At 47.0% G+C, this 27,973-nt stretch overlaps 1 protein-coding gene across 4 annotated transcripts, besides 2 other annotated features; it reads right to left on the reverse strand.

Annotated features, from left to right (window-relative positions):
* Positions 1–1,423: 1,423 nt before the first annotated feature.
* Positions 1,424–26,968, reverse strand: NPIPB11 (nuclear pore complex interacting protein family member B11). Of its 4 annotated transcripts, none has more exons than XM_047434577.1 (9): positions 23,940–24,059; positions 14,205–14,333; positions 10,506–10,605; positions 10,198–10,393; positions 6,052–6,112; positions 5,907–5,942; positions 4,104–4,546; positions 2,796–3,737; positions 1,426–2,417 (listed from the first exon to the last, which is right to left on the reverse strand). In XM_047434577.1, the coding sequence occupies exons 1-9, from the start codon at positions 24,057–24,059 to the stop codon at positions 1,703–1,705; spliced, it is 2,742 nt and encodes a 913-aa protein (XP_047290533.1). In that variant the 3' UTR covers positions 1,426–1,702. The 4 variants fall into 4 exon arrangements, with proteins under 4 accessions (XP_047290532.1, XP_047290533.1, XP_047290534.1 ...); XM_047434578.1 differs by lacking the exon at positions 23,940–24,059 and adding an exon at positions 18,619–19,108; XM_047434576.1 differs by having other exon boundaries at positions 1,424–2,413; positions 2,531–4,546.
* Positions 2,189–2,810: an enhancer, noted in NCBI's record as "H3K4me1 hESC enhancer chr16:29393253-29393874 (GRCh37/hg19 assembly coordinates)". NCBI's record gives its function as "activates a minimal SCP1, AML or CMV promoter by ChIP-STARR-seq in primed H9 embryonic stem cells {active_cell/tissue: H9 hESC(primed)}" and the evidence as "EXISTENCE:reporter gene assay evidence [ECO:0000049][PMID:30033119]".
* Positions 2,811–3,430: an enhancer, noted in NCBI's record as "H3K4me1 hESC enhancer chr16:29393875-29394494 (GRCh37/hg19 assembly coordinates)". NCBI's record gives its function as "activates a minimal SCP1, AML or CMV promoter by ChIP-STARR-seq in primed H9 embryonic stem cells {active_cell/tissue: H9 hESC(primed)}" and the evidence as "EXISTENCE:reporter gene assay evidence [ECO:0000049][PMID:30033119]".
* Positions 26,969–27,973: the final 1,005 nt, after the last annotated feature.

The raw sequence follows: 27,973 nt of genomic DNA on the forward strand, positions 1-27,973 counted from the left end.
CTAGGCAACATAGACCCCATATCCACAAAAAATTTAAAAAAGGAGTTTGTGTTCCTGTAGTAGCATACTTGGGAAGTTGAGGTGGCAGTATCACTTGAGCCCGGGAGTTCAAGGCTAAAGTGAGCTGATTGAGCCATTGCACCCCAGCCTGAGCGACAGAGAGATATGCTGTCTCAAAGGAAATACAAATTAAAAAACCAGCCGGGCATGCTGGCGTGTGCCTGTAGTCTCAGCTACTTGGGACACTGAAGTGGAAGGATCGCTTGAGCCCAGGAGTTCAAGGCTGCCGTGAGCTATGATTGTGCCTCTGCAGTCCAGCCTGGGCGACTGCAGACTGCAGGACTTTTTTAAAGACCCTGTCTCTTAAAAAAAAAAAAATCTTAGATAAGAGGATGCTGTGCCTCCCTGGGGGTCTTCAGTCACCCATGGTCCTGGCAAGAGAGGAGGGCCAGGAGAGAGCTTCACCCACCTGCTGTCCTGCCCATGTGACATCCGCAGGTGCTGCCATGGCCACGACTGTTGTTACACTCGAGCTGAGGAGGCCGGCTGCAGCCCCAAGACAGAGCGCTACTCCTGGCAGTGCGTCAATCAGAGCGTCCTGTGCGATGAGTCCCCAGCAGCACCATGCCACCCACCCCGAGTATCCCCTGGGCACCCTGGCATAGCCAGATGACTTCCGTGCCCCTGTTGCAATAACCACTGCTTCCAAGTCTCTGTAGACCACCCCTTGGGTATATCTCATGTAAGTGATATTTATTTTATTTATATTTTTTGAGTCAGAGTCTCACTCTGTCACCCAGGCTAGAGTGTGCTGACGTGATCTTGGCTCACTACAACCTCTGTCTCCTGGGTTCAAGCGATTCTCATGCCTCAGCCTCCCAAGTGGCTAGGACTACAGACATGCACCATCACGCCCAGCTAATTTTTGTATGTTTTTCAGTAGAGGTGGGGTTTCACCAAGTTGGCCGGGCTGGTCTCAAACTCCCCACCTCAAGTGGTCTGCCCGCCTCGGCCTCCCAAAGTGCTGGGATTACAGGCATGAGCCATGGTGTCTGGCCCTAATGTGAGTGATCTTTAACACTGAGCACTTGAAAAAGAAAACCCTGAAGAAACCTAATTATTCGATGTCTGGACGACAAGGAAGAAGATAGAAATGGCATCAGATAATAAACAGTGTAAATGTTTGTTTATCAGAAAGGGGCTGGTGGTCGGGACAAGTAGGAGGATCGCTTGAGTCCAGGAGTGCATCTCTACAAAAAAGTTAAAGGATTTTTTAACATTGGCCAGGCGTGGTGGCACACATCTGTGATCCCAGCTACTTGGGAGGCTGAGGCAGGAGGATTGCTTGAAGCCCAGGAGGTTGAGGCTGCAGTGAGCTGTGATCGAGCCACTGCACTCCAGCCTGGGTGACACAGCAAAATCCAGTCTCAAAAAAAATAATAATAATATTTTACATAACCAACCACTTCTAAAGATTAAAAAAAAACCCCTATGATTAAAAACCTCAGGTCCCTCAGGCAATCATACCAGATATCGAAACAAAGCAATAACATAAGGACTGCAGTATTTATTTTATTTTTATATTATTTATTTATTCTTTGTTAGTTTTTGGAGTGTGGGTTTTGTTTTGTTTTTTGAATTTTTTATTTTGTTCTACTCGGTTTTATTCTTATTGCTCAGGCTTGAGTGCACTGGCCTCTTCTCAGCTCAACCTCCGCCTCTTGGGTTCGGGTGATGATGGTTCCACGTCAGCGGCCCTCCGCCTCTTGGGTTTGCGTGACGGTTCCACATCACCGACCCTCCGCCTCTTGGGTTCGGGTGATGATGGTTCCACGTCAGCGGCCCTCCGCCTCTTGGGTTTGCGTGACGGTTCCACGTCACCGACCCTCCGCCTCTTGGGTTCGGGAGGTGGTTCCATCTCAGCCGCCCTCTGCCTCTTGGGTTTGCGTGGTTTTTCTGCCTCAGCCTCCTGAGTAGCTAAGGGAGGTGTCTTGAGATTATCATCGGCTGAGGGTGGAAGCGGCCCCCGCAGACGCTCGGCAGGTGTCTTGATATTATCATCTGCTGAGGTTGGAGCTGAGGGTGGAAGGGGAGTGAGCTGACGCTCGGAAGGTGTCTTGAGATTATCATCCGCTGAGGGTGGAAGCGGCCCCCGCAGACGCTCGGCAGGTGTCTTGATATTATCATCTGCTGAGGGTGGAGCTGAGGGTGGAAGGGGAGTGAGCTGACGCTCGGAAGGTGTCTTGAGATTATCATCGGCTGAGGGTGGAAGCGGCCCCCGCAGACGCTCGGCAGGTGTCTTGATATTATCATCTGCTGAGGGTGGAGCTGAGGGTGGAAGGGGAGTGAGCTGACGTTTGGAAGGTGTCTTGAGATTATCATCGGCTGAGGGTGGAAGCGGCCCCCGCAGACGCTCGGCAGGTGTCTTGATATTATCATCTGCTGAGGGTGGAGCTGAGGGTGGAAGGGGAGTGAGCTGACGTTTGGAAGGTGTCTTGAGATTATCATCCGCTGAGGGTGGAAGCGGAACCCACAGACGCTCCCCGCAGACGCTCGGCAGGTGTCTTGATATTATCATCTGCTGAGGGTGGAGCTGAGGGTGGAAGGGGAGTGAGCTGACGCTCGGAAGGTGTCTTGAGATTATCATCGGCTGAGGGTGGAAGCGGCCCCCGCAGACGCTCGGCAGGTGTCTTGATATTATCATCTGCTGAGGGTGGAGCTGAGGGTGGAAGGGGAGTGAGCTGACGCTCGGAAGGTGTCTTGAGATTATCATCGGCTGAGGGTGGAAGCGGCCCCCGCAGACGCTCGGCAGGTGTCTTGATATTATCATCTGCTGAGGGTGGAGCTGAGGGTGGAAGGGGAGTGAGCTGACGCTCGGAAGGTGTCTTGAGATTATCATCGGCTGAGGGTGGAAGCGGCCCCCGCAGACGCTCGGCAGGTGTCTTGATATTATCATCTGCTGAGGGTGGAGCTGAGGGTGGAAGGGGAGTGAGCTGACGCTCGGAAGGTGTCTTGAGATTATCATCGGCTGAGGGTGGAAGCGGCCCCCGCAGACGCTCGGCAGGTGTCTTGATATTATCATCTGCTGAGGGTGGAGCTGAGGGTGGAAGGGGAGTGAGCTGACGCTCGGAAGGTGTCTTGAGATTATCATCGGCTGAGGGTGGAAGCGGCCCCCGCAGACGCTCGGCAGGTGTCTTGATATTATCATCTGCTGAGGGTGGAGCTGAGGGTGGAAGGGGAGTGAGCTGACGCTCGGAAGGTGTCTTGAGATTATCATCCGCTGACGGTGGAAGCGGAACCCGCAGATGCTCAGCAGGTATCTTGATATTATCATCTGCTGAGGGTGGAGCTGAGGGTGGAAGGGGAGTGAGCTGACGCTCGGAAGGTCTCTTGAGATTATCATCCGCTGAGGGTGGAAGCGGAACTGCAGATGCTCGGCAGGTGTCTTGATATTATCATCTGCTGAGGGTGGAGCTGAGGGTGGAAGGGGAGTGAGCTGACGCTCGGAAGGTGTCTTGAGATTATCATCCGCTGAGGGTGGAAGCGGCCCCCGCAGATGCTCGGCAGTTGTCTTGATATTATCATCTGCTGAGGGTGGAGCTGAGGGTGGAAGGGGAGTGAGCTGACGCTCAGAAGGTGTCTTGAGATTATCATCCGCTGAGGGTGGAAGCGGCCCCCGCAGATGCTCGGCAGGTGTCTTGATATTATCATCTGCTGAGGGTGGAGCTGAGGGTGGAAGGGGAGTGAGCTGACGCTCAGAAGGTGTCTTGAGATTATCATCGGCTGAGGGTGGAAGCGGCCCCCGCAGACGCTCGGCAGGTGTCTTGATATTATCATCTGCTGAGGGTGGAGCTGAGGGTGGAAGGGGAGTGAGCTGACGCTCAGAAGGTGTCTTGAGATTATCATCCGCTGAGGGTGGAAGCGGCCCCCGCAGATGCTCGGCAGGTGTCTTGATATTATCATCTGCTGAGGGTGGAGCTGAGGGTGGAAGGGGAGTGAGCTGACGCTCAGAAGGTGTCTTGAGATTATCATCCGCTGAGGGTGGAAGCGGCCCCCGCAGACGCTCGGCAGTTGTCTTGATATTATCATCTGCTGAGGGTGGAGCTGAGGGTGGAAGGGGAGTGAGCTGACGCTCGGAAGGTGTCTTGAGATTATCATCCGCTGAGGGTGGAAGGGGATGGAGCAGACACTCGGCACGTGTCTTGAGATTATCATCCGCTGAGGGTGGAGCTGAGGGTGGAGCTGAGGGTGGAAGGGGAGTGAGCAGACACTCGGGAGGTGTCTTGAGATTATCATCCGCTGAGGGTGGAAGGGGAGTGAGCAGACACTCGGGAGGTGTCTTGAGATTATCATCCGCTGAGGGTGGAAGGGGAGTGAGCAGACACTCGAGAGGTGTCTTGAGGCTCAGGGAGTTATCAGTTATACAATGTTGTTGAGTTGGAGGAGGTGGCTGGTGGCCCATCCTGTTTTTTAAAGTTTCAGCTGTGAGGTAGGGCCAGTAGGGCAATCCTGAAGAATGACGATGCTCCGCTGCCGCCATTCTGACCTGTAGGGCCAAAGGAGGGAATGTTTTCACACATATTCATTTGATGGACAAAATTACCGCCACCAACACAGTCTGCACCTTCTGTTGCTGGTGATAGATTTTTGCACCTTTCCATCCTCCAGGTTTCAAAATAGCAGTATCAGTGTCATAATATCACCCTTCCACTGAGTACTGCCGACAGCTGGAGGGTAAAGGAAAGTCATTGGGACACACTGTTGTCTCCACATGCCACTGTGTCTGTCTGCAAATGTAGGCAGGCTGGGGTCCTGCCCCAGGGAAGACAGAGTCATAACAGAGTAATAAAGAAGCATGTTTGAGACACAGGAGTGTCTATGTCTATCCTCATTCCTCCCTCACAGCCATCACCAGAGCATGTTTCTTGCACCAGGTCAACAGACAGTAAGAGACAGTAAGAGAGGCATGAAAAGCCCACTGTCCACACATGTTGCAGCTTCTTTTTGGAGAATGTTTTCCAGGCCTTTTATGTTCTGTCTCTGATTCTCAGAACTCTGCAAGGTCAGTGTGACCACCCTGCTCCAAATCTAAGAAAACAGAGGTTTCCAGAGGAAGGAGAAATTGTGCCCAGGGTCACACAGCTTGCAAGAGGCAGAGTGGAAGTTGATTCCAGCTCTGCCTGCAGGACCCTCTCATTTCCCCTCTGTTTCCCTTCTTGACAAAGGATCTTCTTCACTCTGGAGGTGCCACCCATGAGAACAAAGAGCTCTGGAGAGATGTGGATTCCTGAAGAGCTGCAGGGGAACTGGGAGAGGGTTTTCTGACAGAACAATCTCACCTCAAGAAGTCACTTAGGCATGGCTGTAATATTTCTTTTCACTCCCAGGTAATACCAAATTGTAAGTGCACTAGGACATAAAGAATACTTTTGTCCATGGAAAAATGAGGTGGGAATTCTAAACAAAGCAAGTTTTAAAACTGTGTTTCACTTCAAGTGTACAAGTCCCATCACGTGTAATCATAGGACTCGGCAGCTTTTGAAGGTACAGAGGCCACACAAGAACCAGCTTAGCTGAGCATCATTTAAGGCCTTCATTTGGAATTGTCCCTGTGGGTAATAAGTTACATTCACTCTTCACTAGTTTACAGTCAGGGCCCATCTGCTATTACAAATACGGAACCTCTGACACTTAGAATATTAGATCAGGGGCCCCACTGGGTGGGGATGAAGGTGTTTTTGCGCAACACGGTTACCAACAGGGATGGGACTGTGATGCTTGTAGGCAGCCTTTCTCTCTGCCATCTCCCTCTGCAGGGCTTGAGCACAGAGCTGTAGGGAGAAAAATGTATCCATGTCCTGACCTGGCAGACTATGTCCAAAAGCAAGGAAAACAAGCAAACTTACCCAGTTGCAAAGAGCCTTTCTTGCAGAAGGGGGGATCTGAAAAAGCCAACACATGAGAAATTGAATGTTGAGAGAGTCTAAGGGCCGTGGCATCATCTGCATCAGCACTGAACTATCCTGCAACTGCAGGGAGGAAGCTCCTTACTTTGCATTTGTGGTAGTCCTCTGCCCGCCGCCGCAACTCTTGCGCACGTTGAAACATTTTCCTATGGATTACAATCACTTTCATCAGATAAAGCACCACTTTCAGGATGATTTTAAATAATCTGCCATGTTTCTGTTATCCTCACAACTGTACCCTTACACAATCTATCTCTACCTAGAAAACGTATTTCAGATGGCTATAAGAGTACAGTCTGAGCCGGTCACGGTGGCTGACGCCTGTAATCCCAGCACTCTGGGAGGGCGGGGCAGATGGATCACGAGGTCAGGAGATTGAGACCATTGTGGCTAATATGGTGAAACCCCTTCTCTACTAAAAATACAAAAAATTAGCCAGGCGTGGTGGCAGGCACCTGTAATCCCAGCTACTCGGGAGGCTGAGGCAGGGGAATCACTTGAACCTGGGAGGCGGAGGTTGCAGTGAGCCAAGATCACGTCATTGCACTCCAGCCTGGGTGACACAGCGAGACTCCATCTCAGAAAAACAAAAACAAAAACAAAAAAACTGTACAGTCTGATCCAAACTGTTGCTGTATTGATTCCTCCTCTTGCTTACTGCCTGCTGACTTCTGAGATGATAGTTTCCTTCCCCATTCTCAGTACATCCCTAATTCATCCTTCATTGAGCATCTTTTATCATAAAGCTGTATTCTCTTTGTATTAATATCCTTACCGTGTTTCACAGGGCAGAAACAGCTGGGCTTATAAACAGGCATAGTCCTTTTGAAGGATGTGGTTGATCCTACAACAACACACTTTCCTAAGGATGACAACAACTCACCCCACCCCTAGAATGGCTGGTATGAACCGAGTTTCCACATAGTCTAGCTGGCAATGGGGTCAGGAGACGTTTTGCTACTTCACATCTTTTGGTCACTGGTAAATATTAAGGTACTTTGTTTTCTGTTTTGTGAACTCTCTCTCGCTCTCTCTCACGATATGTCTTCTGACCGTTTGTTTCTATTTCTGCATTTACTGGGTCTAAATACTGTACAAAGGTTAAAAACAACACTCCAATGGGCGTTTCCCAGGAGGGTGGGGTTCAGTTTCTGAACTCACTTGTAGGTGTGTATTTCTTTCATATCCAATTTCCCATTTTCCTCTGCCTCTGATACCTGCCTCTCCTTTTCTGCATGCTCACATTCTTTCACGCTTAGTTTCCTCAGATTAGAAGGGAGAGAAATGCACACACATGATCCACCAGCCCGTGTGGGATTCCCTCTGCCCTTCTGGCATCTGAAGGCTGTGATTCAAAGATCCCCCCTGCAACCTTCCCACAAATGAACCAACTGATTCTCACAACCGAAGGGAGAATTGACACCTCCCATTGAGGGACAAAAAAAAGTCACACTCTGGCCTGCTGGCAAGTCACCTGTCATTTCCAGCTCATCTTCATAGTTCCATAGTTAGTCCTATTCTTTAGTAAATATAAAGACTATTAAAAGCTTCTATGAGGTGCACTATGTGTGTCTCTGGGGTCAGTCTTGTGCTTGACACAGCGAAAGCTCATTTTAGTTCAGTGTGAAAAACCAGACCTCACCAATTCATCACAACTAACTCCATCGGAAGCAGAGGATTGCTCCTCATCTGACTCCTCCTGTGTGAGACCTGATTCTCAGTCAGAGGCTGATGCCAGAACTGAGACCATCAGCCATAGAGAGATCCTTCCAGAATAACCCCGCAGTTCACTACTGCACTTTGCCATGATTCAGGACTGGAACTCTTGTCATCGACTTTAAAGATCCTGGTTGAGAGAAAAGGCAATCTGAATGCTGGGCGCATCTATTGAATTAGAAATGATCGGAATGGCTCCTAAGTCAGGGTGTTATGTCCTGAAAATAGGTGACAACGGCAAACCATCCACCCTGGTGTTGACTGACTTTAACAAGGTTCAGTTCACAGAGATTGAGGGCAGAAAAAGGAAACGGCCTAAAAAGGGTAAGTTTGCTGTGTTGCCCTCACACCACTTGATTCATGGTCCTGATCCTAAGGATCTCACCTGATACTTGGTTTTATAGGAAGGATGTGTAAAATTCCCAGAACGCTAGGAAACAGGGGCGAAAACACTTCAAAGAGAAAGTTAATGAACTTGTTTCTGACCACAAGGCATCCTTCAGCACATGCTGTCTGGAGTGGCCTCAAACAAGGAGTGTGTGGTGTGGTGCTGAGAATGCAATGGGAGCAGGGTCCTGTCCCCACGCTAAAGAAGCTCACAGCTTAATGCAAATGAGAAGCCAGTGAGGACATCACTACTCCTGCTGTGCACTTGGGAACTAGAAACACAAAACCTGACTCTGGAGGGAAGCTAAGGAAGCATTCTACTCTTGAGTTGACATAAGTGCATCTGAAGCTTCTGATCTCCGATGAGAACAATGGGGGACACCAAACAGAATATAAAACCCATGATTGAATACATCAAATTGCTAACATGGCAGTAAACAGACATGAGGTGAAGATGGAGAAGAAGGAAACCCAGGACGAAAGTCAGCCTCGCATTTGGAACCCATTTCCCTGAGTTTCATTGCTGAATTCCAGAAGGAACTACTGAGATGCAAAGAAGCACAGCAGCTTTTGCACACATGCGTGGGATTAGATGGAAAACAAGTGGATTGAGGGTCTGCCAATGAAAGCGACCCATACTGAAGTCCACTGGCTCTGGTTGAGACCCAGAAGAGTCATGCATCAGAATAAAGGTGGACAGGAAATACCCTGGCCTTTGTAGGGACTGAGCCTGCACCGACGACCTCAATTGCAGCCTGTATGGAGGACCCCTGACCATCCCCCAGAAGTAGACTCCCATCTCTTCTGCAGCAAGATAACATGCTACTAGGCCTCAATTCATTGCTAAACATTTTTTAACAAGTATCTCACATTTAACAAAAAAAGATCAGTCATATGGCAGCAAAATACAATGTCATATGACCAAAACATGAAAGACTGTGAAAATGAATCTGGAGGTGACCCAAGCATTGAATTCAACAATCCAGGCTGGGTGCGGTGGCTCACACTGGGAGGCTGAGGTAGGCAGATCACCTGAGGTCAGGAGTTCAAGACTAGCCTGGCCAACATGGTGAACCCGTCTCTACTAAAAATACAAAAATTGGGCCGGGCACGGTGGCTCACGCCTGTAATCCCAGCACATTGGGAGGCCGAGGTGTGCGGATCATGATGTCAGGAGTTCTAGACCAGCTTGGCCAATATGGTGAAACCCCGCCTCTACTAAAAATACAAAAATTATCCGGGCATGGTGGCATATGTCTGTAGTCCCAGCTACTCAAGAGGCTGAGAGATAAGAATCGCTTGAACCTGGGAGGTGGAGGTTGCAGTGAGCCAAGATCATGCCACTGCACTCTAGCCTGGGTGACAGAGTGAGACTCTGTCTCAAAAAAAAAAAAAAAAAAAAATTGGTCAAATGTGGTGGCACACAGCTGTAATCCAAGCTACTCGGGAGGCTGAGGCAGAATTGCTTCAAACTGGGAGGCAGAGGTTGCAGTGAGCCAAGACTGCACCATAGCACTCCAGCCTGGGCGACAGAGCGTGACTCTATCTCAAAATTAAAAAAAAAAAAAAAAAAAAAAAAGGCTGGCTGTGGTGGCTCACGCCTCTAATCCCAGCACTTTGGGAGGCTGAGGCAGGTGGATTACCTGAGGTCAGAAGTTCGAGACCAGCCTGGACAACATGGTGAAACCCCATCTCTAGTAAAAATACAAAAATTAGCTGGGCGTGATGGTGGGCACCTGTAATCCCAGCTACTTGGGAGGCTGAGGCAGGAGAATTGCTTGAACCCAAAAGGCAGTGAGCTGAGATTGTGCCATTGCACTACAGCCTGGGCAACAACAGCAAAGCTCCATCTCAGGAAAAAAAAAAAAAAAAAAAAAAAAAAAAAAGAGAAAGGAAAACCAATGCCAGTACTAGCAACTCCTCTTCCCCCGAAAAAATTACAAACAAGAATGTAGGAAGGGAAAGGAATTATACAGCTTAAACTAATGAAGCAGAAAGGACAAACTCAATTTTGAACCTACTGAATTTGCCACAAATATTGTAGAAAATATTCTCAAGGACTTTACAGTTGTCTACTTTGATTGGCACATGGTTCCTACAACAGTATTTGTGTCAAGGCACATCTTACTGTTTTCTGGCGGTCTTCCTCTTTCCATTGATTTTGTCATGACGGTTGATTTTCGTTGTCACCTTCCTCTTACGGATTTTAGCTCTAACTTTTGTTTCCACATGCCTCCGTAGAGTAATGACGTCTTTCAGGCCAATTTTATTTCCTCGAAAGGAAGAAACTCTTTTCTTTGTGTGCATACAAATGGACCTCAGCCCTTGGTGAGAGTGAGGAGAGGAGAAGGTGAGAAACCTGAGGGCAAGAAGCTGTTCTTTCCCTTTCCAGGGCAAACTCATTTCCACACTATGCGGATTCCAACAGAGCCATACCTTCCTGTCTACGGCGGTTGGACCTCCAGGCTCTCTGCTGTACATCCGTGGATCCATCATGTCCATTTCGAGACCAGAAGATAGTCTTCAGGAGAGACACCTAGGAAATAATAATATAAGAATGACGGCTGGGCACGGTGGCTCATGCGTATAATCCCAGTACTTCGGGAAGCTGAGGCAGGTGGATCACGGGGTCAGGAGCAAGACCAGCCTGGCCAAGATGGTGAAACCCCATCTCTACTAAAAATACAAAAATTAGCCGGGCATGGCAGCGGGCGCCTGTAATCCAAGCTACTCGGGAGGCTGAGGCAGAGAACCGTTTGAAGCTGGGAGGCGGAGGTTGCAGTGAGCCGAGATCACACCACTGCACTCCAGCCTGAGCGACAGAATGAGACTCTGTCACATACACACACACACACACAAGAATGACATGAGGCTGGCACAGTGGCTCACTCCTGTAATCCCAGCACTTTGGGAGGCTGAGGCAGGCGGATCACCTGAGGTCGGGAGTTTGAGACCAGCCTCACCAACATGGAGAAACACTGTCTCTGCTAAAAATACAAAATTAGCCAGGCATGGTGGTGCATGCCTGTAATCCCAGCTAGTCGGGAGGTTGAGGCAGGATAATCACTTGAACCCAGCAGGAAAAGGTTGTGGTGAGCTGAGATTGTGCCATTGCACTCCAACCTGGGCAACAAAATTGAAACTGTCTCAAAAAAAAAAAAAAAAAAAAAAATAGGCCACCTGCGGTAGCTCATGCCTGTAATCCCAACACTTTGGGAGGCCGACGCGGGTGAATCACAAGGTCAAGAGATGGAGACCATCCTGGGCAACATGGTGAAACCCCGTCTCTACTAAAAATACAAAAATTAGCTGAGCATGGTGATGCACGCCTGTAGTCCCAGCTACTCGGGAGGCTGAGGCAGGAGAACTGCTTGAACCCAGGAGGCAGAGGTTGCAGTGAGCCAAGATCCCACCACTGCACTCCAGCCTGGTGACAGAGTGAGACTCCGTCTCAAAAAAAAAAAAAAAAATGACATGAATATACTTCACACAACTGAACTGTACACTTCAACACGGTTAGATGGTAATTATCATCTTATAAGTATTTTACCACAGGTTAACATGTTTCACAACTTGAAAAGGAAGTAATTACCTTCAGCTCTCTGAGTTCTAGAATTTGTAACATTTCACCCCCTGCTCCTTCCTGATCTGCACTGGAGCATCTTCCTTCTGTCCCTGCTCTACTCAGAGTTCACTTTCCCTTCCCTCACATCAGCTTCATTGAGGCTGGTTTGAACTTAACGCAAAACATTCTCACTAATGACTGAATTCCCACCAAGATTTCCATATTATCACAGTATGCTTTTAATCTTCTAAGACATTAAATATTTCTTCTCATCATAGCGAAAATGCAATGCAAATCCCATCTCAGATGTCGGTCAGATACCTATGAATCTCCTGAGGTAGTCATTGAAATGACTTTTTTCTTGAGATGGAGTGTCACTCTCAACCATGCTGAAGTGCAGTGGCGCTACCTTGGCTCACGGCAGCCTCCACCTCCCAGATTCAAGCGATTCTTGTGCCTCGGCCTCCCAAGTAGCTGGGATTACAGGTGCCTGCTACCATGCCTGGCTAATTTTTGTCTTTTTAGTAGAGATGGGGTTTCACCATGTTGGCCCATCTGGTCTTGAACTCCTGACCTCAAGTCATCCACCTGCCTCAGCCTCCCAAAGTGCTGGGATTACAGGCATGAGCCACCACACCTGGCCTGAAATAATCTTTCAAATTCTTTGTAGAATTTGTTTTTTCCTGATTTCTGCACATAGGATAAAAAAAAAATCATGTACTAGGATTTCGAGAGAAGCAATGGGTAATCTAAAAAGATGAAAAGAGCAACCACGTCAATCCCACAGCTACTGCTAGATTTCATAGGAAAGGTAGCTGGCCCAGTTTGGAGCTAGGAGAAATGTCAAACACATGAAGAAATGACAAGCAAGGAAATGCCATCATGCATGAATGCTTCATGGCACCCATGATGTCCCTGCTTAGGAGGTAATGGTATAGATGACTAGATGACAAGGACAAAGATGAGAGGTGCGAAGTTGTCCAAGTCCAACAGCTCAACTGAACTTTCCTAAGTGGAATTGTTAAAAAGTGGTAAATTTAAAAACTTCCCCTGGCTCACGTGGTGGCTCACGCTTGTAATCCCAGCACTTTGGGAGGCTGAGGCGGGTGGATCATTTGAGGTCGGGTTTTGAGACTAGCCTGGCCAACATGGTAAAACCCCGACTCTACTAAAAATACAAAAATTTGCTGGGCATGGTGGTGGGCACCTGTAATCCCAGCTACTTGAGAGGCTGAGGCAGGGGAATCGCTTGAAGCCAGGAGGTGGAGGTTGCAGTGAGCCGAGGTCACACCATTATACTCCAGCCTGGGCAACAGAAGGAGACTCGTCTTCGGGGTGAGAAAAGAAAAAAAAAAAAGAAAAAAGCTTCCTCCAATTTATACCGAAAATTCTCTGTTCAGGACTAAGTGGCATAGAGAATGTTAAATGTGCCTAGATATCTTCATAACTCATATATTTTCTGTTTTCTACATATCTTGAAAGGCAGTGCCAAATGACGTGTAATTATCTAGGTGGTAAAACTGAAACATACTTCCTCTTCCCTTGAATATAAAAAAGCATTGTGGTATTAGTACTTTTATCTTGGATCATTGTTCAGAAGGAGGTTCAGCCCCCAGACAACCACATTTTTACTGTCATGAATGGCAAGACAAAATGTAGAGCTCAACTTACCCAAAGGAAAAAAGGCTCAAAAGACAAATTATGGTACAACTTAGCAGCCAAATTCTTACCAAGTACAGACTTTTGACATACTGATCTCTCTCCAGTTCCAAGTCGGAACATGCACTTTGAATGATGTCATTCAAAATTACCCTGCCCAGACACACTTTTCATTGATTCTCTTGGAGGGCAGTTCTAAGAGTCTCTGGGGCTTTCTCTGCATCATGAGACGCAGAGCAGTTCTGCCCTTCACCTTCCGGCAGTTTGTCACCTCGTCCCTATGACCTCAGAGGAACTTTGTCTCAGGCCAATTGTTTGTTCCTTGGCCTCTTTCATTTCCCCTAAAAATCATTTGCTGCCCCTCTAAATGGCCTACATCTCCATCTATCTCCCTCTCCCCTCAGAAGAGGGTGCTCTTTAAGCATCAACCACCCGGCAGTTCTAGCAGTCTCATTTTTCAGCTGGTTCCCATGTTTATGCCTGTTCTATGTTTTTCTTTTCCTGTTAAGCTGTCTGTTGTCAGCTCATTTCTGCAGTGAATCTTCAGAGAGGAGATTGGAAGCTTTCCTTCCACCCATACGATAGAACTATAAAGCAGAAGAGTTTAGAAAGAATTTCCTATTTAAGTGACGAAACCTCATACTCCATTTGTGATAAATAGCACAAAGGTTAAAAAAACTTATTTTTGACCAAAAGCTCTGTTGACATTCTATTAAACAAACAGTGACCTATTTAATTTTCATAACGCAAATGGCAGATATTTTCATAATTCTTATGCTAATAAATCATTTCCCTGATTTTTTGGGTAAAACCACATATTCATAATGAAGTCCAGAAATGTGAATTGTTTTATATAATTTATTCTTATTTGTGATTACAAGTATACCTCTACAGAAAGTTAGTATACTCACCCAAAGGTAAACTATCCAGAGGGTAATGACAACTTTATAACTTGTCGGAAACGCAATAATAATATGTAACCAAGGACTTCCACCAAAGTCAGTCCCACGATGATGATGGTCAGCCAGAGTATTGATAACCTGGAATAATAATAGTTGAAATAATGAAAAGGTCAATGACACTGACAATATTTCACTCAGAAAGAATCATCCTTAGAAACCGTCAACCTCCTCCAAAAGGTAACCACATCCCTCAGATATCACCGTGGGATTCCACTGCTACAAAAAAGAACAGAAGTTAGAAGTCACATGTTTTTCAGATGGCTGGTAGTGTTTTCAGGCACTGCAAATGTGGGGTGTTGTCTTTCTTGGTATAAAGCAGGGATATCCAATCTTTTGACTTCCCTGCCTATATTAAAAGAAGCAAAGTTGTCTTGAGCCACACATAACATACACAAACACTAACAATAGCTGATGATCTAAAAAAAAACCTCTTTTTTTTTTTTTTTTTTGAGACAGAGTTCCGCTCCACTCAGTCGCCCAGGCTGGAGTGAAGTGGTGCAATCTTGGCTCACTACAACCTCCAGCTCCTGGGCTCAAGCCATTCTCCTGCCTCAGCCTCCCGAGTAGCTGAGATTACAGGTCTCTGCCACCATGCCCGACTCATTTTTGTATTTTTAGTAGAGATGAGGTTTCACCATGTTGGCCAGTCTGGCCTTGAACTCCTGACAGGCGATCTGCCTGCCTCAGCCTCCCAAAGTGCTGGGATTACAGGTGTGAGCCACCGTGCCCAGCCATTTTTTTGTTTTTGTTTTTGTTTGTTTTTTTGAGATGGGGTCTCACTCTGTCACCCAGGCTGGAGTGCAGTGGTGTGCTCTCGGCTCACTGCAACCTCTGCCTCTCAGGTTCAAGTGATTCTCCTGCCTCAGCCTCCTGAGTAGCTGGGAGTACAGGTGCCTGACAGTGCACTCAGCAAATTTTTGTATTTTTTGTGGAGATGGGGTTTTGCCATGTTGGTCAGGGTGGTCTCGAACTCCTGACCTCAGGTAATCTGCCCGCCTCAGCCTCCCAAAGTGCTGGGATTACAGGCATGAGCCACTGTACCTGGCCAAAATCTCCTAATGTTTTAAGAAAGTTTACAAATTTGTGTTGAACTGCATTCAAAACTGTCCTGGGCCACATGCAGCCCGTCACTCATGGCTAAGACAAGCTAAGTATAAAGTAATTATCTTTTCTTTTTGTTTGGAGACAAAGTCTTGCTCTGTCACCCAGGCTAGATTGCAGTGGCATGATCTCAGCTCACTGCAACCTCCGCCTCCCGGGTTCAAGCGATTCTCCTGCCTCAGCTACTGAGTAACTGGGATTACAGGCGCCTGCCACCGCACTCGGCTAATTTTTGTATTTTGAGTAGAAACAGGGTTTCACCATCTTGGCCAGGCTGGTCTCCAACTCGTGACCTCTTGATCCACCTGCCTCGGCCTCCCAAAGTGCTGGGAATACAGGTGTGAGCCACTGCACCTGGCCAGTAGTTATCTTTTCTTTAAAGTTATTTACTTGTTTTTTAAATTGATGTATAACATTGGATGCATTTATTATATATCACATGGTAAAAGAATCCCTCTAAATAATACTTCTCTCTTGGATTATATGAATCTTTGTCATTTAAAGCTCAGCATAAGTAAAAAAAAAAAAAAATACAATGAAGAGATTACTTCATTCACAAATAAGTATCAAATTTTAGTGCTTAAAAATTAACAAGGTGGGCCGGGCGTGGTGGCTCACGCCTGCAATCCCAGCACTTTGGGAAGCCGAGGTGGGTGGACCACGAGATCAGGAGATTGAGACCATCCTAGCTAACACGGTGAAACCCATCTCTACTAAAAATACAAAAAATTAGCAGGGCATGGTGGCACGCGCCTATAGTTCCAGCTACTTGGGAGGCTGAGGCAGAAGAATCACTTGAACCCGGGAGGCAGAGGTTGCAGTGAGCCGAGATTGCACCACTGCACTTCAGCCTGGGTGACAGAGCGAGACTCTGTCTCAAAAAAAAAAAAAAAATTACCAAGGTGGAGATCATGAAAATGGCATGAATAGTGTGGGATTTCTCTAAGATTGTTGATATTAATTCCATTAGACTCTTATGTGAGTGAAGACGAAGACTTCCCCTGAGTAAGTTCAGACAGCTTGTGATAACATTTCTACGTCGATTCCTCAGGATTTAACTATATATTCTTGAAAACATCTCAATTTTAAATGTTTCTTTCAAGATGGTGAATTAAACAGAGATAGCCCTTCAACAGGTGGAACTCAGCATATGCTGAGTCTGAAATGGAAATGATGAAGTTAGAGAACCATACAACAATGGTAATGATTTCAGAAACATGGTGTTGAGCAGAACAAAGCAGACACAAAAGAGTACCTATGGCATGGCATGCATCTGTATACGCGAAATTCCAGAATAAGCAAGCTAACCTATGATAAGAAAGAGACTGGCTGGGAAGACTGAGAGTTCACTTTCTGGGGTGACATAATAGTGTAGATCTTGGCTGGGCACGGTGGTTCACGCCTGTAATCCCAACGCTTTGGGAGGCCGAGGCGGGCGGATCACCTGAGGTCAGGAGTTCAAAACCAGCCTGACCAACATGGAGAAACCCTATCTCTACTAAAAATACAAAATTAGCTGGGAGTGGTGGCACATGTCTGTAATCCCAGCCACCCGGGAGGCTGAGGCAGGAGAATCGCTCAAACCTGGGAAGCAGAGGTTGCGGTGAGCTGATATTGCCCCATTGCACTCCAGCCTGGGCAACAAGGGAGAAACTGTCTCAAAAAAATAAATAAATAAATAAAATAATGTAGATCTTGAAAGGGGGTCGGTTTATGCTGGTGTATGTACTTTCCAAAGTTAGTAAACTTACACTTAAGGTTATATATTTTGGCCAGGCGCGGTGGCTCACGCCTGTAATCCCAGCACTGGGAGGCTGAGGCAGGCGGATCACGAGGTCAAGAGATGGAGACTATCCTGGCGAACATGGTGAAACCCCGTCTCTACTAAAAACACAAAAATTAGCCAGGCGTGGTGGTCTACTAAAAATACAAAAATTAGCCAGGCGTTGTAATCTGAGCTACTCAGGAGGCTGAGGCAGGACAATTGCTTGAACCCCGGAAGCGGAGGTTGCAGTGAGCCGAGATCTTGCCACTGCACTCCAGCCTGGGCGACAGAGTGAGACTCTGTCTAAAAAAAAAAAAAAGTCATCAAACCAGATGACACAAATCAAATGACATTTCACTTTGTTTTGGTCCACTTTGTTTGTTAGAGACAAGAGTGCAGCGGGGCCATCTCGGCTCACTGCAACGTCCAGCTCCTGGGCCCAAGCGATCCTCCCACCTCAGCCTCTCCAGTAACTGGGATAACAGGTACGCACCACCAGGCCCGACTAATCTTTTTTGGAATTTTTTGTAGAGATGGGGTTTCGCCATGATGCCCTGGCTAGTCTTCAACGCCTGGACTCAAGTGATCTGCCCACCTCGGCCCCCTAAAGTGCTGGGATTACAGGCCTGAGCTGTGTAATTTCATGCCGCGTGACACAGCCCAGTAAAAAGGAAGAAACCCCGAGGGTCCAGCGTCTACTCACACGGATGCACTGATGGCTGATAAATTCCAGCAGGAGCCCAAAGAGGAGCCAAAAGAGCATCCACCGCCCCCGCATGTCCTGGTCCTTTCAGGGCGCCCTGAGGCGTCCAGGACAGAGGTGGAGGTGGCTTAGGGCAGGGGGGAGGGAAGGGGACGGGGACCGGGCCCGGATCTGAGTTGGGGAGGGGGAGGGGAGGGGGAGGGGGAAGGGAAGGGGAGGGGAAGGGGGGAAGTAAGGGAAGGGAAAGGAGGAGAAGGGGGCTGTTGGGCACCTGGAGGAGGAGAAGAAGAAAGGGGTCTGGGAAAGGATCCGGTTCAAATTAAGTTCTCAAGCGCTGGTGGAAGGTTTAGCTACAGGTCACGGAGAAGATCAGGGAAGCAACAGGACACGCGGGGCAAGGGAGCGTGAGGCTTAGGAGCAATTAGAGGGAGACAAAAAGGTTCTGCTATCCGCCAAACCTTCTTCGGTCTGGGCCCTCCCTTAGCAAACCTGGGGCTTTATACTCCCTCTCCACCAATCCCTGATGACCCCGGTGGTGCCTCACAATGGACAATGCCAAGTAGCGCCCGCATCATTCCAATGACCCCTCCCCCATCTCAGTCTCCCACACTCCTCGCAAGGACAGGTCCTCTCTGGAACCTTCACAAACCTGATTTCTGGTCCTCCCCAACCAGCTCCCTGTCCCTGCTTCTGGGCGCTCCTTCCTTCCTGAGCTCCCAGGGTTCCTCAAGGTCACTTTTGGCGACAAAACATAAAAAACAAATGATGGCAGGATGGCAGGAAGAACCTCATACCCAAGCAGAGTGCCAGGTTTTACAGCCTCCGCTCAGCCATTCATATCCTAAGCAACAAAACATCAGCAGGGTGCGGAAGGTCCCGATAGTAAACCATCTCCATCACATCCATGTAGCCATCCGTCCATCAACCTGTATCTCAGGAACAAATGTAGATACATTCATTTTAAGCATGCATGGTACATTTACAAAAATTAACCTGACTTATTTTGTTCCAGCAAATCTCAATATATTTGAGAGCAATCAAATCACACAGCATGTTTCTGATCATGTAACTGTGCTAGAAGTCAATGATTAAAAGCTAATTCAAAATTATTATTTGCTTGGAAATTCAAAGTGCCCTTATAAGACATAAACATAAGAAAGAATCCAAAATGAAACAAGATTGCCTTTCAACTCAATGATAAGATCATAACATGGCAATAAAATGTCTCCCTCTGGCCTGGGAATTCCTCTTTGTGGCACAAGGTTGTGTGATCTCAAATCCCCCCTAACCCACCTAGACATTTTAACATCCGAAACCGAGTGATGATGTCCTTATCTATAATCATCTTACTGCCTGTGTGTGTGGACTTTAAATTCTGAACCCAAATGAGGGGGAGAAAACCAAGTTGACCTTCATGATTGACCTCTCAGGGATGTCCAAGGAATCTGTGCATTTCAAGAAACAAAGTTCATCAGCTTCTCTCCTAAGGTATTTGCCCACAATACCCAGAGGGCTTGGCAGCATCATGTGTGATGGGTGGGGAGCTCCAAGCAGGTGGGCAGGACCCAGGGGTCTGGTGACCAGGACAGACCCCCACTGTCCATCACCTTTCCTGGCCCTGTCCTCAGTTAAACTTCCCACAGGGCTTCTGCCCGATCACACAGAGTGTGCCCAAACTCACTCAGGCCTCTGGCAGCTGAAAACCACTGCTTTAAATCCCTTTACCATTTACTATGACATAAGGTTATTGTAAACAGGAAATATTCTATTGATGCTACAAATGGAAAGCCAATGCCTTTACCATAAATAGAAAAACAACCCTAAGAAACAAGCAAAACAAAAACAAAACAGGGGCTGGGTGTGGTGGCTCACGCCTGTAATCCCAGCACTTTGGGAGGCCGAGGTGGGTGGATCACAAGGTCAGGAGTTCCAGACCAGCCTGGCCAATATGGTGAAACCCTGTCTCTAATAAAATACAAAAATTAGCCGGGTGTGGTGGTGGGCGCCTTAGTCCCACCTACTTGGGAGGCTGAGGCAGGAGAATAGTTTGAACCCAGGAGGCAGAGTCTGCAGTGAGCCGAGATTGCACCACTGCACTCCAGCCTAGGAGACAGAGCGAGACTCTGTCTCAAAAACAGCAACAACTACAAACAAACAAAAAACAGGGTTAACAAAACTATGGAATTCAATTCTATTTATATGCTGCAGCCATGTTCCAGCCCTAGATTTGGCTGGGCATGGTGGCTCACGCCTGTAATCCCAGCACTTTGGGAGGCTGAGGCAGGCGCATCACGAGGTTAGGAGTTCGAGACCAGCCTGACCAACATGGTGAAACCCCGTCTCTACTAAAAATACAAAAATTAGCCAGGCACGGTGGCACCCGCCTGTAATCCCAGCTACTCAGGAGACTGAGGCAGGACAATCCCTTGAACCCAGGAGGTGGAGGTTGCAGTGAGCCGAGATCGTGCCATTCCACTCCAGCCTGGGTGACAGAATGGAATGAGACTCTGTCTCAAAAAAAAAGAAGCCCTCGGATTTCGGTTGTGTTGGTTGTAAAAGGAGAGACCAAGTAAGTGGGGGTTGAAGTCAGATTAGACCAAAAGTGAATGGCAGAGAGTACTATAATGTCCATGAAGGGTTGCTAGAGTCACCGTGATCATAGCCCAAGCAGAGACAGGGAAAGGAAGATGTGAGCAGAGTTTGGGGTCTCGAACAATGGAGGTTATTCGTGCAGCCCAGGAAAGGCTCCCCAAAGCCAGGATCAACCTCCCTTGCAGGGGGTCCCTCATGGAGGCATGGCCAGGCACCTTAGATTTGAGACCAGCTATGTTGCTGCTGACCAGCTGTGTGACCCTGGGCTGGTTTCCTTCCATACAATGGGAGTGCCAATGGCTGCATGCATGCAAAGACCGTCTGAGGATAGGAGGAAGCAATCTGTTGAGCACCCGTGTACCTGAGTGTCATCACCTCCCAAGGGCATCTTTCGTTCCAGAGCTGGCACCTTGGAAGGCCCTTGGTCACTGAAGGCAGTGATGATGGTAACAGCAGTAAATCATCATTTACGGCTGATGAGGGAAGGCCAGGGGTAGGGCTCCTAGGTCCTGGATAAGAATGAGGGTCTGGGCACTCCTGGGGACAGCTGAGTGGTAGGACTCCTGGGTCCCCAGGGGGCAGGTCCATCTTCAGTGGCATTGGGCCTAGGCTGGGATGCTGAGTTATCCACTGGAGCATCAGCAGTACAGGCAGGCACAGAGGCAGTGGTTCCATCGGAGGTGGCAGGTGTAGGATCATCTGGTGAGCAAGTAGAGTCACCAAGTCTGGCTGACCACTACCCCCACTACCCCCACTATCCCCACAGACGATTCCCTGTCCCTTGCCTCATGCTCCGGCAGGGTACAGGCTCGCACCTGGGGCCTCATGGAGCATCTCTCTAAGACCTCTGTGTCCTGGTCATTGAATGGGCACTTGAGTCACCCAGGGCCATTGGAACAAAGAGGAAGAATCAGGCCCCACGATGTTTTGGGAGAGTGTTTAGCACAATACATGCACGACACGGGGGCACTGTCAGTGTGGGAGCAATAGTTTACAACCTCCAGCCCTAATCTGAGCACTCTTGAACCTGTGCAATCTGAAAGGAACAGGAGACTTGCAGGAAAAATAGTGCCTGGATTTAACTTAAAGGAACTAAAATGTTGGAATTTTTACTCTTGATATCCTTCCAGATCAACTCTCTCAATGTTCCCATCCTCAAAACTATCATCTGGGGTAACTGAGGCAGTCAGAGATTTACTGACTCAATGTCACTCAGTTGATTCTGAGTTCACTGCTGATTACATCTGACCAAACTGCTTTTTCTGAAGTCTACTCTGTTTCATCATGCTGGTGATGATTTTGTGCAGCTCTGGGACAAACTCCACCTGGCTGAGGATAAAGCAAATCTGCGGTGACTTAGTCCTCCTGTCATTTCCCATCAGTTCCCCACTCTCCTCCTCTGCCCCTCCACAGTCTCCCATGTAGGCTGACACCATATGACAGCCTTAATGGAGTCCACCGAGTATTTCAGGTTCTCTCCTGGGCCACTTGAAAGTGGATGTACCCATGGGATTTGCTTTGACCCAAGAGATGTGAGTGGAAGTGAAGTGTGTCACCTCGAGGCAAGAGTTGGGAGCCATTGAGACTGGCCACCCTCTCCTTCATCTCTTAGAGCAGCTGACAGCTCCCATATGGAGGCTGCTCCTTTATTCTCGTGGCAGGATGAGGGCATGTGGGGCACAGGGCACAGGAGAGCCATGGAGGATGTGCAGCATGGGCAAGAAAAGAGCCTTCAGTGGTGTACATTTCCACCGTTTGGGGCTGTTTCTTACCTACAGTGATACCTAGCCCATCCTAGCAGGCATGCACCATCTACCCCACACTCTGTGATGCAGACTAGCCTGCCGTCAGAACATGAACTGGTGGTCAGACACACGTAGGTTTCAGTTCCAGCTCTGCCTCTTATTGACTGTAACCTCAGGCTTAACTTTCAGTCTCTGGGCCTCAGTTTCAACTCTGTAAAATGAGGTGGCTATACCATCTCAGGTTGCAGAGAGAATTAAATGAAATATAAGTGCATGTAGAGCATTGAACCCAGGGCCTGGCACACACAGTGAGTACTCAATGTTAGCCATGTAGCTTCATAATGCATACTGATTGTCAATATTCAGACAATCCAGTAAAGTATTACCAAAAATAAAAGTAAACTTATTTGCATATGTATTCTTTCAATCTTTATTTTTAAACAGGGTAAAACTATGCATATTCTTTCATAGCCAGTGTTTTTCTCTTCATAGTATATTGTTAAAATAATTTTATCTTGGACCGGGTGCAGTGGCTCACACCTATAGTCCCAGCACTTTGGGAGGCCACGGTGGGCAGATTACGAGGTCAGGAGTTGACACGAGCCTGGCCAATATGGTGAAACCCCATCTCTACTAAGAATACAAAAATTAGCTGGGCATGATGGTGCACACACCTGTAGTCCCAGCTACTCAGAGGCTGAGGCAGAGGAATTGCTTGAACCCGGGAGACGGAGGTTGCAGTGAGCCAAGATTGTGCCACTGCACTCCAGCCTGGGCGACAGAGTGAAACTCTGTCTCTCTCTCTCTCTCTCTCTCTCTCTGTGTGTGTGTGTGTGTGTGTGTGTGTGTGTGTGTGTGTGTATCTCTATATAAATCTCAAAAATAAAAGATCATTTTTGAGATTATCATTTTAAAAGACAAGATAATGTTCAACTTAATGACTAATTTAATTATTACTATTGGACTTTTTGTAGACTAAACAGAGCATTCAAAACAAATGAAGGAGAATAAAAAATATGTATTACATGTTGTAAAATAAATGTGATGTGGTTAATTCTTTTATTCAAAATTATAGAACATATATATGTACTATAGAATGTATTTATTATGAGTCATGTTAAAAAGTAGTTTAGAAGCTGTTGATTTGAATTTCCTTTTCAAATTTTGCAGGATAATTTTTTTTTTTTTTTTTTGACAGAGTCTCGCTCTGTCGCACAGTCTGGAGTGCAATGGCGTGATCTCGGCCCACTAAAACCTCCACCTCCTGAATCTAAGCAATTCTCCTGTCTCAGCCTCCTGAGTAGCTGGGACTACAGGCTCACACCACCATGCCCGGCTAATTTTTGTATTTTTAGTAGGGACGAGGTTTTGCCATATTGGTCAGGCTGGTCTTGAAGTCCTGGCCTCAGGTGATCCACCAGCCTCAGCCTCCCAAAATGCTGGGATTACAGGCATGAGTCACCATGCCCAGCCTAAACTTGGCAAGATAATAAATAACCTTTTTAAGTGTCGTTGGGCACTTGTCTGGTTGTTTTTCTTTAGGTTACCATGCCAGCAATGATTCCTTTTGAGTTTCTGACAGAAGATAGTGGTTTTCATCCAAATAAGTCAACTACTCTACCCCATCCCTAAGCCACTTGTATGGAAAGAAAAAGAGGAAGAAGCCAGTACTGTGACTGCGTAAGCTTCCCCCAGCATCACCCGCTATGAGATGTGTGGCAGCTGAGACCCGGGAACTGCTCAAGGGCACCAGGCCCCATCTGTCTGCACTCACTCACCTTCCTCAGGTACTCGCATGGGCATGTCACTGACTTTACGTGCTGCTGCAGCTCCTTGGTGAGCTGGCCCTGGTCATGGGACAGGAACTGTGGGGTCAGGACAATAGAGAGCTTCACCATTTGCAGAATGAGAACAGGGGCTCATGATGAGTGCCAACCTATTAGATAATTTAAAAAAAAAGTGTTGAATGAGTGGAAAAACAAGGTGATGTTTGAGTCTATAGTGGTCAAGGGCTTCAGAAAAGGACAGAACCAAGTTCAAATTCCTGTACTTTGAATTTCTACTTCATGCCATGCAAAATTACTTTACCCCTTTTAACCTCAGTTTTCTTCTGTGTGAAACAGGAACAATAGTTTCATTCGTCATTCAGTTTCTCTCAAGGTTTCACGAGATCATACCTATAAAACATCCAAGTCATTTAAATGTATCATCATTTCTGTCATAATTAGTGGGATCCATTTCACTATTATTGGATATACAGTTCTGTGCCTGAAACCTACAAAAAAAGAAAATGTTAAGTCTAAAAAGCATTAGTGATTTCTCATTTTTATATTACTAATTATAACCCTATTTAATCACACAAGGCCTTGTCCGTGGCAGGTGCTCAATAAACACTTGTCGAATCAATGCATGTGGGCTCCGGAGCCACACTGTTTAGATTCTATTCTGCCTCCACCACTTATCAGCTGTGTGATCTGGGTAAGATAATTCACCTCTTTATGTCTGCACTTCCCTCTCCATAAACTATATATAATGAGAATCCTTAGCTCATTCGGTTGTGGTGAGGGGTGAATGATTTGGCACACAGGAGGGGCTTGTTAAACATTAGCTGTGATGATCTCCTTCCAAATCTTCATTTTCAGAGCCACAGATGAGGCCACAGTGCAACCAGGTGACCTTAGAGTGTAAGTACACATGATCGCCAGCTATGCTCTGTCTCCACCATAGGTCCAAGACTGGGTAGTTCCGGCCTGGAGGTTTCTGCTGCATCTGCCTTCTCAGTGCTCACCTAAGGGCTTTTGTATTTTCCTCCTCGCATCCCCACAGATGGGGTTCAGGCTGCCGGACACAGCTGGGTGATGCCAGGGCAGTGGTCACCTGTGCCAGCCCTGTGAGGTAGCTGGAGGATCATTGTTCCTTCCTTCTCGGGCTCTGGGCAGATGCCAGGGCTGGGGTGACCCATGCCCTCAAGTTTCTTGCTTTGGTGGGCCACATTTTCCCTTGGCAAAGAGGGTAAAGGTCACAGGATGCCAGAGAGCTGTGACTTCTCTGTGCCCTGGGCCCAAACTATGAAGACCTGACACACTATGCTAAAAGTCCAAGGCTGGGTGCTCCCCAGAGCTTCTTGCCTCACCGCTTCTGCTGAGGGAGGAATGAATACTATGTCCTCCCAGAGCTTTGGGAGCTTGTAGCAAGCAGCCTCCCCAGCACAAAATCTCTTGGAAACCTCTAACTGTGTCTGAAACATTAGTGCAAATGTTGCATCATATTTCCCATATGTCCGCATGTTTTAGGAAAAAACCCTCAATTTCCTAAATATGCAAGAAAAATCGATATTGTAGGACAATGTGACTTTTTAAAAAATGTTATTTAAAAATCTTCCCCACCTCCTTTTCTGCCCTCCAAGACTGCCAAATACTTGTTGAACAAATATTATTAAAAGCCTACTACGTGCCAGCCATGATTCATGGTCTTGGGGACACAGCAGAGAACAAACTGACAGGATTCCTCTCTTATGCAACTCACATTCTTATACGATAATGATAAGGGTTAACATTAATTAAGCCGTCACCACGTGTTAGTCACGGTGCAGTCATTCCCACACATTATTACACTTAAACCTGCTAGCAAGCTTGCAAGGTAGTTAGTTGTTTTTCCTTTAAAAACTGAGTCTCGGAATGATGAAGCACTCTGTCCAATGTCACACGGCTAGTAAGTGTGGAGACCTTGCATCCAATCAATGCCCGTCTCATTCTAAAGGCCATGTTATGTGTTCTCCAGCCCATGGAGAATAATTTTAACACAGTCAATGAAATTTCTACACAACAATGTTCTTGTTTCAAGTCCAAGAATGCCTCCTACACCTCCTATAATACTGGCTTTCTGGTGAGTAAAGATGGCATTCTCATGTGTAATCAGGTGGCAAATGGAGATATGACCAAAGTAACCATCTGCCTACACTCATAACCCTGTACACACTCTTCCTGTGTCGATTCAATTCAAGTACCCCTTTTGATCACTTAGCAAATCTGACCTTTAAAAGGGTTAAGGTTTTTATATCCATGTAAGTTTCTGTATTGCTTTGGAAGTCTCTGGTTAAATTAATACTCTTTTAATAGTGACCTGTGATTCTGTTTTGATCAAGTGTTTTCAAACTTGACGTCTTTGATGGGTTTCTCCAGTGTCAAAATCCTAAATCAAGTCTTTTTGGCTTAAAACTAACTTTGGGATTTTTTCAGCTGCATCCCTTGGGGAGTCTAAAGAATGTATCTCTCATCTTGTAGAGGTATTAAGTGATTCGATTTATTTGGTAGATTAAATGGGCAGGCATTGTCAAATGTGGCGATACTGCATGGGAGGGCACTGTCAAGTGAGGTGACATTAGATCTCATCTCAGTTATATTTATGGGTATGTTGTTGATATACGTGTTCCAAAAATTGCATACATTTATACAAATTTAATATGATTTGTAATTTTGATAGTTATGCTAAATGTTTGCTAAAGTTATATTTGTATAAACACGTCATGAATGGCTGGGCACCGTCACTCATGCCTGTAATCCCAGCACTTTGGGAGACAAAGGCAGGTGGATCACCTGAGGTCGGGAGTTCCAGACCAGCCTAATAGAGTGAAACCCTGTCTCCACTAAAAATACAAAAATTAGCCATGCCTGGTGGCACATGCCTGTAGTCTCAGCTACTCGGGAGGCTGAGACAGGAGAATTGCTTGAACCCAGGAGGCGGAGGTTGCAGTGAGCCGAGATCATGCCACTGCACTCCCGCCTGGGTGACAGAGGTAGAATCTAACTAAAAAAAAAAAAAAAAGTTATTAATTATTTCTGAAGATTGTATGAAATTTATAAAAGTCTGGTGGCCCTGATATGATGCTGCCAGTCATGATTCTGATTACTGTCTTAAAATGCTGCACGTAAGTAATTAAATTTCCTTGTGAACTGGGAAGTTTCATCAGACTTCTATCATAACTATTGTTTCCATCATCCACAGTTACTATTTTGAATTCTTCTCTAAAAATATTTGTAATTGGCAATAGTCCAAATTTTCTTTTGTTTTCTTTCCTGTTTTTGAGACACAGTCTGGCTCTGTTGCCTAAGCTGGAGTGCAGTGGTGGGATCTCGGCTCACTGCAAGCTCCGCCTCCCGGGTTCACACCATTCTCCTGCCTCAGCCTCCCAAGTAGCTGGGACTACAGGTGCCTGCCACCACGTCCAGCCAATTTTTTGTATTTTTAGTAGAGACAGGGTTTCACTGTGTTAGCCAGGATGGTCTCAATCTCCTGATCTCGTGATCTCTGCGCCTCGGCCTCCCAAAGTGCTGGGATTACAGGTGTGAGCCACCGTGCCCAGCCTAATTTTTGCATTTTTAGTAGAGAGGAGGTTTCACCATGTTGGCCAGGATTGTCTCCATCTCCTGACCTTGTAATCCACCTGCCTCGGCCTCCCAAAGTGCTGGGATTACAGGCGTGAGCCACTGCAACTGACTTTTTTTCTTTTCCTTTTTTTTTTGTTTTTTGAGACAGAGACTCACTCTGTCACCCAGGCTGGAGTGCAGTGGCATGATTTCGGCTCATTGCAACCTCCACCTCCTGAGTTCAAACAATTATCCTGCCTCATCCTTCAGAGTACCTGGGATTACAGGTGTGTGCCACCGTGCCCGGCTCATTTTTGTATTCTTAGTAGAGACGGCATTTCGCCATGTTGGCCAGGCTGGTCTCAAACTCCTGGCCTCAACTGATCCACTCTCATTGGCCTTCCAAGGTGCTGGGATTATAGGCGTGAGCCACTACAACTGGCTCA

This window comes from Homo sapiens, chromosome 16 (assembly GCF_000001405.40).
Source record: "Homo sapiens chromosome 16, GRCh38.p14 Primary Assembly".
Lineage (NCBI taxonomy): Eukaryota > Metazoa > Chordata > Mammalia > Primates > Hominidae > Homo > Homo sapiens.